This window comes from Homo sapiens, chromosome 13 (assembly GCF_000001405.40).
Source record: "Homo sapiens chromosome 13, GRCh38.p14 Primary Assembly".
NCBI classification, from domain to species: Eukaryota; Metazoa; Chordata; class Mammalia; order Primates; family Hominidae; genus Homo; species Homo sapiens.
In genome coordinates, this window is record NC_000013.11 from 66,262,599 (window position 1) to 66,275,883 (window position 13,285).

General features: G+C 36.5%; 1 long non-coding RNA gene and 1 pseudogene across 1 annotated transcript in view; both read left to right on the forward strand.

Moving 5' to 3' along the window:
* The window catches only part of LOC124903179 (uncharacterized), a 41,261-nt gene that overhangs the window by 10,461 nt on the left and 17,515 nt on the right, over positions 1 to 13,285 (forward strand). The window contains exon 2 of the long non-coding RNA XR_007063815.1: positions 10,749 to 11,099. This is a non-coding gene — a long non-coding RNA (uncharacterized LOC124903179). The remainder of the gene's footprint in view (positions 1 to 10,748; positions 11,100 to 13,285) is intronic.
* On the forward strand, positions 6,449 to 7,814 carry TRIM60P19 (tripartite motif containing 60 pseudogene 19; annotated as a pseudogene).

A 13,285-nucleotide genomic window follows, 5' to 3' on the forward strand; every position in this document is an offset into this window, starting at 1 on the left:
GGTGTCTGTGAAGGGAATATAGTTATCATTATTATACACAAATTTTAGCTCTAAATCCTGAACTTTTTTATACCCCCACGGTTTCATAAGTGATTTTATGTAATGGTGGAAAATATACTAATTTTTAAGGCATACAAAATTTTAAGTCCCTATATTTCAAAATGAATTTGTCATATGGAACCTACTTTATGAATATTGAGTTGCAAAATAAATATCTTACATTTTTACTTTTAGAATGTGCTTAGTGATTTAGCATTCATAAGCCAGTTGTTTATCTACATGGACTGTTATGAATAATATACTAAGGGGAAGAGCGAAAGAAGCTTTCTTATGATGCAACTTGACACAAGGCTAAATGTAAACTATATAGTGACATTGTGGGTTACATATCCATTACCTTAACTGTTACTTCTCTAGGTCAAAAAATACTTAAGAAGCATGATTATATTCATTTTATAGAAATACATGATTTATAGATGTTAAGTAGTGTGCCTAAGTTAAGAATTGAATTCAGGTAGGTCTACCTTCAAAGTCATGTTCAGAGTTTTTGATGTTGGAACCAAGCTTGGAAGCATTGCTAGAACTCTGCTGGGGGGAAATACGGAAAACATAGTATCCAGATAGAGAAACACATTTGCGAAACCTCAGGACATGAGAGACCACCCTTTACTCAGGAACCGGAATACTTCTTTGTATCGGTGGAGTAAGATTAGACTTCCATTTCAGAAATAGATCATGCAGAAAGTTCTAAGAATAATACTTGATGTGGTCAAAAAAGAAGGGAATTTGAATGCAGTGAGTTGGGTATCAGAACCCCCAGTGTGTAGAACAGGAAAGGAGATCAAGTGGGAGGAGCTTCATAAGTCAAAAGATCACCCAGAGTAGAATAGGGACAGAAATGTTGTTGGATATGAGTTTTGATTAAATATTTCATTCTAAACCATAAGCTTCATGAATGTAATGCTAATCATGTTATCTTTATCTCTATACCTCCAGTACTAGCCATAGTGCTTGAAATTGCAGGCAGATTTCCCATGAAGAAAATGAAATCTCTAAGCTTCAGGGTCTCTTCTTTACACAGATCCCTTCCAAGGCCTTGGGAGGGGCCCCAAGCAATGTGTTCGTAGTTCAAATGCTTCTGATAAACATCCATCATTTCATAAAATATGTCCTTCTATAATATTTTATTAAAAACAGACTCCAAAATTATATCAGCTCAGGCTTCTACAAATCTGAATCCATCACTGCTTAAGATGTAGTAGATATTCAGTTAATATTTTGGGATTAATGAAAGAATAAAAAGGGAATTGAACGACAAGATTTATAAGAGAATTGAGAACTTTAAAACTATCCCTAAAACTTGGGGAATGTATCTTACAGTTGTTCAGTACCTTGCACATATTACATAGATACATAAAATACTTTCCTTAAAAAAATCACATTATATATGTGTGTGTGTGTGTGTGTGTGTGTGTGTATAGAGAGAGAGAGAGAGACAGAGAGAGACAGAGAGAGACAGAGTCTTGCTGTCATCCAGGCTGGAGTGCAGTGGCACAATCATAGCTCACTTCAGCCTGGAACTAACTACTCCTGGGATCAAGTGACCTTCCCATCTCAGCCTCCTCCTGAGAAGCTGGAACTGTAGGTGCATGCCACCACACTCAGCTAATTGTGGTAGTTTTGGGCAGAGATGGGGTCCTGCTATGTTGGCCAGTCTGATATCAAACTCCTGGCCTCAAGCAATTCTCCCACCTCAGCCTCCCAAAGTGCTGAGCCGCCGCACCTGGCCTGAAAATATATATTAGTGTTTGGAGAAAGTATGTGAGAGGAGTGATAAATAAAAAGTAAAGGAACAAATGTTTGAACCACCTCACTCCTCATGAAAGCCTGTATTCTAAAATAAATCAATTAAATGAAACTGAAAATATTGAGCTTTTTTTCATCAAATGATGTGATGGGGCATACATATTTTATTTTCTCTAATAGCTGTCAAGAACAGCCTTAAGCATCTCATTCTAATTTCAAAACAGATTTTAGAGGAAAGTGGGTAGCCACCTGGAGAAACAAAACCTTAATACATACAAATTTCAAAATATTTCTATAAAACAAAAGAGTCTATGAAAATTAAGTAAACTAGTAAAAGCATTAGGACGACTTTGAAGCGGTTTTTTTAACAAACTAGTAGGCATTCTGGAAATATTCATGAGAAACAGAACGAGGAATTTGAGAGACCTCATATCTGAAAATCTTCACTAAACATTAATTTTTATTTTTTAAATAAAGCAGAAGGAAAGATAAGAAAAAGCTCTATGCTTAATCCTATTTGTAATGTTCATGTTAAGAGAAGCAGCATTAGGCATATTAATGTGTTTGCTTCTCTTCTAATTTATGATTCCCTTCTTTCTTTAATGAGATCTGCTCTACAGCCCATAAAATAATTGTTATGGTAAACTGACTTTTTAAAATTAGCTACACACCAGTTGGTCCAGAAACCTATTCCTCTAGACCATTCATGCACAAAATACCTTTGTGTGAAACCCTTTCCAAATGTGTAATGACTGGAGTTAGTCCAGAAGTTTGCCAGCAGAGTCTCTCTGCGTGACTGTCAGTGGGAACAGCCTTACAATTTCCTTTCCTCAGAAGCGTTGCCGTGAGACGCTGTCATGCGGGCATGCTCAGGCCACTTGCAGGCTGACACTGAAACATACATTCAACCCCACTGCTATTTCCAAAGAATTTGTTTTCTTTAACCTGCAGAGATGCTACCTGACCTAGCGTCTGGTTGTATGGCAGAGTGTTTGAGGGAGAACCTGTTCAAAGTCACTCAGGAGAGCTGGAGGGAAATTTACATGGAAACACGTAGCCTGTCCTTAGAACCATTAGCTCGTTGTTTCATACTCTTATGAACTGTTTTTCTCTGTGTGAACTCTGACACTGTGGTTGTTACTCCACCACAGTGACTCCTGATGGAAGAAGGGAGACTGAGCCAAGAGCAGTTGAATCCATCCTGTCCTCAAAGGGAGTTGGGGGAGCAGAGAGGTTCGTAAAATAGCCCAATTCACAAGACATAGATAGAGTGTAGCACTAATAGTATTTCAAAGGAACTGTTTCAAAGTAATGTGGAGAGAAAGGGTTGAGATGGAGCATGCAAGCTCATTCTCCCCTAACACACTCCTTAATCAAAAAGGCTAACAGGGATGAACGCACTCCAAAGCGGTTACTGATTAACATAAATATTTTTGAAGTGGTCCAATTTGTGTTCATGGAAGCATTCCGCATATCTGGAAGAAAAATGAAGCTTTGTTTTGGAACAATTAATGTCAGTATCTTTTGTAATACTTAAAAACTCTAAGGGAAAATAAACTGGAACCACCAAGGAGGCTTTAACATTACTTACCACATATTGCATTATTCTACTGAATTCTTTCTTTTTTTCTTTTCTTGTTGTTTTCTTTTCTTGAGAGCATGATCATTTATTGCGCAAAAGAAAATTACAAATTCCACTACCAACACTGACAAATAAATATTATTTAAGTCAATTTTATTATTGATATTAGAATTGAGGACACGAGCATTAGTTTATTTACTTAATTTTACAAATATATTAAGAATCTTCTAAATGCAGGCCTTGTGTGGGGTGCAAGGAATCTAGTAGTGAAGAAAGTTAGTATACGTTGGAAATTCTCAGCATACATATACTACTTACATTCAATAACCTCTCTATATAAGTAGCACTCTGGAACTGATAAAATTTGGCACTACTTTATTATATATTAATTGAATATTTGAAATTAAGAGGCTTGCTCAGTTCCAATAAAAATCTGTGTTAGAATGCATTGCCTCAAGGCAAAATTTGACAGTATCATCTAAAACACCAAAAATGTCATTCCAAGAGGACAAGGTTTGAAGCATCAGGGACATCAAAGTATACATTTACAAAACTAGCTGAATAGGCAAAATAATTGTATACTATAATTTTCAGCATATAATTTCAGTACCTGGCCCATATTCCCTTCAAATACATATGAAAAATATTTGAAAAAGGAGGGCATAGTAACCATGCATTAATTAAAACCAGATCCATGACAAAATTTATAATTTTTAGGTATACCGAATTTCTATGTGTTTTATAAGATAGATCATCTGATAATACAGCTTTTGAGAGAAGATAATAAACTTTTTCAGTTTAACTTCTAACTTCTCTCTAAAGGAACATACCTATTCATCTTAAATATAACTTAAAGGAATATTGTGACTTATTTTTCAGAAATTTTCTTTATGGCCAATTGCTAGAGAATAAGATGGTTGTGGATGACTAATACAGAGGAACTGCAAATGGAAGAAGTCATACGGGAGAGGAGGAGACGGAGCATAAGTCAGGTTGATACTTGCACTGTAGATGTTACAAAGGTAGGAGAGAGTACACATAGATACCAAAGAGATGGCTGAAGCAAGCAGCAAACCTCGCAACGCAACCAGGCACTGTCCAATGACTCTGTCCAGTGGTGGGGAACCGGGAACCAAAACTCTAATCTAGAGCTACATGTTTAAATGTAACAGGTATAGGAGAATGCAGTCAGATGAAAATGCCAAAAACCATAAATATGAACAACAAACATAGTTAAACTAAACAGACTACGGGCCACAATAGCATCTTGGAAAAGGTGTGTGTGTGTGTGTGTGTGTGTGTGTGTGTGTGTGAAGGAGTACAAAAATGGGGCTAAGATGCTAGAGAATTCAGGTGGGCATCAGACTGCATCAAATTGCAGTTAACAAATCTGCGCATTTGTAGCTGTTCTGAAACTTTTCAATGTCTATGCTTTAGTTAACTTCACTAATTTAAGATTAGATTTGATCCCTACAAGTGAAGTGATTTTTTAGAAAATAAGAGAAGGATGAGACATAACAAATAGTTGAATTCCATCTCTTAATAAATGTAATCAAGTGGTACATTCATAGACAAGCCTTGAACATGTATATTTTCAGAAAAATCAAATGTATTAGTCTTCAGCAAACCCAGCTTAACAAACTGAAAATAGTCATGTTTGTCAAGGAAGAAGTCCTGAATCAGTGAATTGCTAAACATTTTCAAAACACATTTACTTCTTTTCTTACTTTACATTACTACTTTTGTTACTTGAGACAGGGTCTGTCACCCAGGCTGCAGTGTAGTGGCATGATCATGACTCAGTGCATATACATGGCTCGACCTTCTGGGTTCAAGTGATCCTCCCACCTCAGCCTCCTGAGTAGCTTGGACTGTAGGCGTGTGCCACCATTTCCAGCTATTTAAAATTTTTTTTGTAGAGATAGGGTCTCAATATGTTGCTCAGGCTGATTTCAAACCCCTGGGCTCAAAAGATTCTCCTGCCTCAGCCTCCCAAAGTCCTGGGATTACAGACATAAGCCACTGCACCTGGCCCACATTCGCATTAAATGCATATGAAAAATATTTGAAAAAGGAGGGTATTATAAACTTGTATTCATTCAAACCAGGCCCATGACGAAATTTATAACTTTTAAGTATACTGAAACTACATGTTTTATAAGATTAATCATCTGAGAATACAACTTTTGAATCGCTTAAAATTTCACTGATGGCTTTCTTGCAGCTGCAAAAAAAAAAAAAATGGCTAGCAATGGCATAGATTAGGCATACAGAAAAATAGGAAGACCCATCTTCAAATCAAATTGGCGGTCTCCAGAGTTGCATGTATCTGGGTTGGAACATAAGCTTCATTGAGGCTTTCAGAGCTTCAGTTTCCTGGGATTAAAGCTTGTTGAGGGGCTGGAAAGAGGTTTATGAAGACACAAATGATATCATGTGTATTATTACAGTGCCTGGCCCACCTGGCCTGATTTAATCACAAGAGATCCCTTCCTCACTAACCAGGACCTCTGAATATTCACTCATCCACAGCATAGTACTAACCATTCTTCTGGAGGGAGGGGCCACCAATCTCTTATAGGGGGGATCCTAATAGGTCCACCATCCTAGTGTTGTATATGTATGCCATATTTACATCACTAACCACAAGATCTGCAGCAAGACTGGCTTCAGAAATCCCTCCCTGAGACCCTCTGCAGAAGACTGCCCATAGCTACCTGATCCAAGAACAAATTGGCACTTTAGAATCCTGTCTGCTTTTTCACCAAGAGAATCGCTGATTTTGGCTTCATATCCTCTGAGCTACCAAAGACGGCCAGTTGCCCAACTAATCTGCAATTGGCTCCAGGTTGTAAGTAGAGCTCCTCTGGGCACCTACCTCTGCAACTGAGGAACCATGGCCTTCCAGAACATCAAGGACCATCTGTAATTTATGAAGAGACATTTGGAACAGGAAGGAGCTGGATGTATCTGCAAAACCTACAGAATTCCTGCAGAACCCAACCCTCTGAAGAAAATTCACCTCACTCCAGACCTTCATTCACAGGTCCAATGGTGGTTGCAGCAGCCTTGGCAGGACTTCAAGCAGAAGCTAACTGCTCAGTTTGTCTGGATTACTTGAGATACCCTGTCACCATCAAATATGGACAGAATTTCTGTTATTTCTGCATCCAACACCTCTAAGCAGATCTAAATGATGGTTTCTTTTGCCCTGTCTTCATCAATGCCCAAAGGGGCATTTCAGGAGCACTACCCATCTGGGAAAGATGATAGAAATTTCCAAGCTATTCTACATCACCAAGAGCAAGAGGATAAGGCAGGAACAAACATGTTTGAGCAAGTACAACCAGATTTTGACCCTTTCCTGCAAGAAGAATCTATAAGTGCTATGTACCCTGTTCTCTCAGCCCCCTGACTACCGGGGCTACCAGAGGCCCATAGAGAAGGCTGTTTCTCATCACAAATGATAGAGGTACAAAAACTCATAGCCAACCAAGACAGAAACCGAGACAGAAAAAAACATTAGAACTGAGAAGGAAAATGGAAAAATCAAAGGTGGAAATTATCCTCTGAATTTAAGCACCTGAAAGGAGTTTCTAGAATGTGAGCAAGGGGCAGTGCTTTCAAGGCTGGCAGAGGAAGGAAAAGATATCGAACAGAAACTCCATGCAAACACAGCAGCATTTTCAGTCCACATTTCCACACTCTACGGTCTACAAAAGGAGGTGGCAGAGAAGCTTGTGATGCCAGAAGTAAAATCTCTGGTGGACAGCAAAATTATTTAACACAAGTGTGAAAGCCTGGAAACCTTAGCCGTCTGTTCATTCCAGTTAAGGAAAGAAGGATGCTCTCCTCCTCCACAGTTTGTAGCTCTGCAACAAACAAACAAACAAACAAACAACAAAACAAAACACACACACACAAAACGACAACAAAAACAAAAAAACAACCTGGAAATGTAAAGAAGATGTAACTCTGGAATCTGAAACAGCACATAGTAACCTGCTTGTATCTGAAAATAAAAAATCTGCTACTTTTGTGAACAAAAGGTAAAAAGTTAATGTTGCTAATTTCATGTTAGTTCTGGGTTCTGAAGGATTTGAGTCAAGCAAATATTACTGGATGTCAAGCCCAAATGGATCCTGGGGCTTTGTAAGAATTCCCTGTCCAGGAAGGGAAAGCAGTCCCTGTCAGGGCAGAACAGACACTGAATAATTCAGAAGCAAAGTGGTGACTATGGGGCCTGAGGCCCTGTTCCAGTCACTCTTCTGCTAAAGGAGAAGCCAAGAGGAATTGGGATATATCCGGACTGTGAGTTGGCTGAGCTATCCTTTTACTACTTGAATGACAGAACTCACATCTATTCTTTCACATATCTATGTCTTTAAGTACATAAAGCCTTATTTCTAAATTGGAATCAAAATCTATTACAATCTGTGCAGTAACAGGCTGTGAAGGGTCAACTGTGACGTTTCATTTTTATGTGATTTATGGACAGTTGGTAGAATATTATACAACTATGGAATATTATACAACTATCAGTGCAACTAGCAACCTTATAAAAAATACTTCTACAGCTTTTAGACATAGCACTTCAACAGAGGTGTTGCTATTGAAATGAAATGAAAAAAAAAACGGGAAAGAGTTGTTGTGGGAACTTATAGAGATGTGGGAATTAACTACAATATTTCTGGAATTTTAAGATTAGAGTGTAAGAAAAAGTAATTTATCAGTGGCAATAAATATATTTTGTGTGCATTTAACAAACACAAAAACAAAACTTCAAAAACTTAAATAGTAGATCGTAAAGTTCAATTGGATGTAATAACCAGTATTCAGTTTTAAAGACAATAAAATATTGCATATATAATATATAAAAATAATACACAGAAAGAGTCATAAATAGAGTGTACCACATTTAATATTTCATGAGACTCATTTCAATTGTGCAATTGGACATGTATGGTGAATCGCAATATAATATGTACTTTTTATTGTGTGGTGAGGTCAAAGTAGATATTAACTGGCCTAGAAATGGAAGTGGGGAAGCTGTGAACGTATTTTTTTCCATATATTCGTTTTCAGGCTACATCTTAGGATATTTTTCTTTATTCAACTGTCCTATGAAACATGCTTTTTATCTGATTTCACTTACATAAAACATTGAGGCAGAAATATGAAAAAAAGTGTTTTTTACATGTGTGCGCCTCTAGAGGTGATTTTGCCAAACTAATATTCTTTCAAGCCTTACCTTCTAAAGCTCCAACTTATAATGTTCAGAAAATTAAAACTCAATGAAAATGTGATATTATCAAAAGCATTCATATTATTGATTTTTACTTTATAATTTTACTAAACTTTAAAACTTCTAACACACACAAACACACCATCATTACAATTTTGAAACAGCTTCAAAAGTGGAACTCAGATAAGTCAGCTTTTTCTTTATCTGCTTCAGGCAATGAGGAATTTGCTGTGTCTCAGTGAGACATTTGAAATTTCTCTTATTTAAATTGTCTCAACTTCAAAGCATTTAAAATACAAATCCATCTTTCTTGGCAGTCTCAATGTCAAAAAGTTATCAAGGGAACAAAACCCACCTTCGGTTTAATAAAATTATACTTTTATACAAAAGATATTGTCGTAATCTACAGCCAAACTAAACTCTATAAACAATCAGAACAATACTGAAATCAAATGACTCTATTTATAGAAAATTGTAAGAAAATAAGGAATATTAAAAACTCCAAAGAGACATAGAATCAAGAAGACTTGACTCACAGTTAACAATGCAGCCCACAGAACTGGATGAAATCACAAAAGCGATGGGAATATGAGAAGAGAGATGGACAATTCTGGCGTCTTTCTCTCTCTGATGGAATGAAAGTATCACTGCACATAGTTTACTCATTTGGGGTCTCGGTTCCTTCCTGAGAAAACATAACTTGGGGCCAGGCGCTGTGGCTCACGTCTGTAATCCTAGCACTTTGGGAGGCCGAGGCCGGTGGATCACCTGAGGTCAGGAGTTTCAGACCAGTGTGCCCAACATGATGAAACCCCATCTCTACTAAAAATACAAAAAATTAGCCTGGTATGGTAGTGGGTGCCTGTAATCCCAGCTACTCGGGAGGCTGAGGTAAGAGACTCCTTTGAACCTGGGAGGCAGAGGTTGCAGTGAGCCAAGATGGCACCATTACACTCAAGCCTGGAGAACAAGAGCAAGATGTCTCAAAAAAAAAAAAAAAGTAACTTGGAAAACTCACTTGATGTTTACTTGCAATATAGATAGAGAAAACAACTGGATGAAAAGTAAGCTTTATTTCTAGTTTAAATATTATCACTAGCTAACATTTAGTAAGTGGTGTGATTTTCTTGAGCCAGACTGTTGAACTCAAAACCTGATGGCTGTATGACATTAGACAAATTACTTAAATTGTCTCAACCTCAGTTTTCTTATCTATAAAGTGGGAAAATAGTCCCACTTCAAAAGGTTGTTGTGAGATGTCAATAAATTAGTAGATATAAGCCACTTAATACAGTGTCTGGCACATATAAATTGATTTGCTATTATTGTTATTATTTGCTTAATTTTTAAATCTTTACATCCTGACTTCCCAATGAAATTGCAAGATTAATGAGCCAGTCTGTTTGAGCATTGTCTCATTAAGAAGAAAGAGTTTCTAGCTAAATACAAGACCCATAAGAGCATTAATCACACTTTGGTACATTTATAAACACTCTTACAGAAACACTAAAAACTATATTAATGATAATATCATCTATTAATAAGCCTTAAAATTGAACTTATTCATTTAGGTTCTGATATATAGGAACTTTGAGGAAAAAATATATCAGAAAAACATGCAAAAAACAAAAAAGTTGTCTTCTATATTTGCTTCTTCTCTATTTCTTTTGAACTTTAACTTCACAAACACAACTACACAAAAGCTTTCCTAAGCAGAAATAGCTTTTTTCCCTGCTAAGAGAGTAGACAGAAATCAAATTTACAGTTCCTGGCTGTTTGCTATATTGAGAAGAGGGAGCTTTTCAACACTCACAGTGCCAACCAAACTCTGAACCAGACACACACTCTCTGATCTGTTTTGTCTTGTTTTGTTTTGTTTTCTTAATTCACATCCTGCTGTGGTTTGAATGTGTCCCCCAAAGTTTATGGGTTGGAAACTTAATACTCAAAGCAAAAGTGTGGAGAGGTGGGACCTGTAAGAGGTGATTAGATCATGAGAGCTCCACCCTCATGAATGGATGAATGCCTTTATTGCAGCAGAAGGTTAGTTCTCACAGGAGTGGGCTCCTAATAAAAGCATAAGTTCAGCCCCCTTCTCCCACCTCTCTCTTTCAGGAGCTTGCACTCTCTTGCCTTTCTGCCTTGCACCATGGGAGGACACAGCAAGAAGCTCTCACCGGATGCTAGACCCTCAACCTTGGACTTCTCAGCCTCCAGAACCACGAGAAATAAATTTCTGTTTATTGTAAATTGCCCAGTCTCAAATATTATGTGACAGCTGCACTAAACAGACTAAGATGCTCCCTTAACATAAACCACAGGGTTCCTATGGAAAACAGGCAACATGGAATGTTTCAGGCATTGTAATCATTGAAGGAAAGGAGAAACAAAAGGAGAGATTGTGCTGAAGTGAACAGAGCACAGACTGTGACGGGAATCTCACAATCTTACCAACTTTGAGATCAGGTAAGCGTCTTGTCTGGAGATCAGATAAGGGTCTTGAGATCAGGAAAGGGTCTTGTAAAGAGCTTCTCTATGGTATATTTCAAATCTGAAATTTTGGATTCAGGTGAAATAGTTAAAGATCTGAGTTCTAATCCACTGTGTCACTTTGATTATGTAGTGTACAATGCCTTAAATGCATATTTTCTTACTTAGTGTAACAGAAACACCATAAGAGAGATGTCTTTGATAATCTCCAGTATGGAGGCACATAATTGAAAGTTCCAAAAGGTTGAATAACTTATGAATAGTGAACAGCAAGTTAGAGTTTGAATGCATTTCTTTGGAATTCAGAGCCTGTGTTTTTATACTGTCACACTACCTCTTATATATGCTTATTCACTGAATGTAAGTTGTATTATTTTCCCCACTGATATCTATTCAGGCTTGCATAAAAAGTTTCTCTTTTATAATTAGGGAAGCTAAATAAACTCTATAAATTTAACAAAGATTTTCTGAATGATAATATGGTGGGCACTGTACATTGTATTGGAGTACGACAGTAAACAAAAAAAAATATGGTACCCAAGTTTATGGTTGAGAGGGAGACCCATTATTTTAAAGAAGTGTAAAAATCTGTCCAATTAATGCTTCCCTATCTTTTCATTGTAAATTATCAGAATTTAACTTTCACCATTTGCCAAGCTATTGTGCTGGATGCTTTTATACATTATTTCATCTAATCTAGGAATCAATTTTGTTTTTATTTTACAAAAGAGGAAACGTGCCTAACTACTATATGCTTGTATCAATTTATTCTCCCTCCAGCATTGAATAAAAATGACTAATTTTATTGTATCTTCTTCAGTATTCATTACTTTCCTTAGAAACTGCTAATTTGATAGATTAAAAACTGTAATTGTTTTCATTAGGATTTTTATCTTAATGAGGTTGGAAACCTGTTGATATATCAGCAAATATTTATTAGGCAGCTATTATTTACCAAGTAGTACACATGGCATAGAGGATAAAAGAAAAAAAAATGTTTGTTTTTTTTTTAAATGAGAAAGTAAAAGAAAGTTTATAGGCCTCACAGGTGAAGGTAAATAGCCCCATTTTATTCATGGCCTAGTATTATCTCTTTGGTCACAGGGTTACAGTTGGTTAATGTCCACATGGAAAGCAAAAGACATTCTGTATCAATACTATTGCTTCTTTTTAAAAATAAGGATTCTGTATTATAAAATTGACTATTGTTTGCCTTTTTGTACAGGTTTTTCTGTTCAGCTTTTTCTATTTTCTACATGCTAAAGGATAAAATTTAATGTGGTTCACAATTCAAAAGAAAATGATTTTTAAGGTGAGATAAATGTGTATTGTGATAGTAGCATTTATAATTCATCTGTACAAATAATTACTAATCTAAATATGTAGTTCATTTTAATGTACTTCAAAAGTATGTCTATTGTTTTTGCTAAGATACATTAACCATCTTGGATTTGTAATGTTGCATAAAGGCTGTTAGTTACTATCAAAAAAATCAGAATAGAACCAAAACCACATTTCTGATGTCTCAGCTTTCATTCTATTTTCTTTTAGCCAGATCATACTGTCTTCCCAATCTCTCACTTGACAGCAAGTGAAATTGCCCTAGGCTAGGAACATCACAGTATGAAAGTGAGATGTCATGATAAAGACACCTAATTTTCATTGCACCCATATGGCATATTCATTTTTCCTAGTCTCTTTTTGGGTTGGAAAATCACCTATTTCATTATATCCCATTGATTTTGCTTGTTTGTTTAAAACTGTACCAACTGTCAGAATTGAGGCTATGCCTGTTTGTCCATGATAGTTGCTTTGCATGATTAGTCAAAGACTATGTCATGGTGGAATAACCATAAGATGTTGATTGTTCACTTATTAGGAAGTCTTAAGTTTAGTGATTGCTGGAATGCTACATAAGCTTATTATGCTCAGGGATTTGGATTAGTACCTTGATGATTCCCTGGGCCTTTTTCTCATCAAAACCAGACAGCTGCATACAATCAAGATATTGGTAAAAACAGAAAGTAGTCCCAGAAGTCCCTAGAAGACTTTCCTTTCTATGTCTTTGGCTAGAACTTTGTTACATACACGCTCCTATATAAAAGACATGTCTCACCTTCAGAGAGATTAAAGAATACCTGTTCCATCCCTGAACAAAAGCA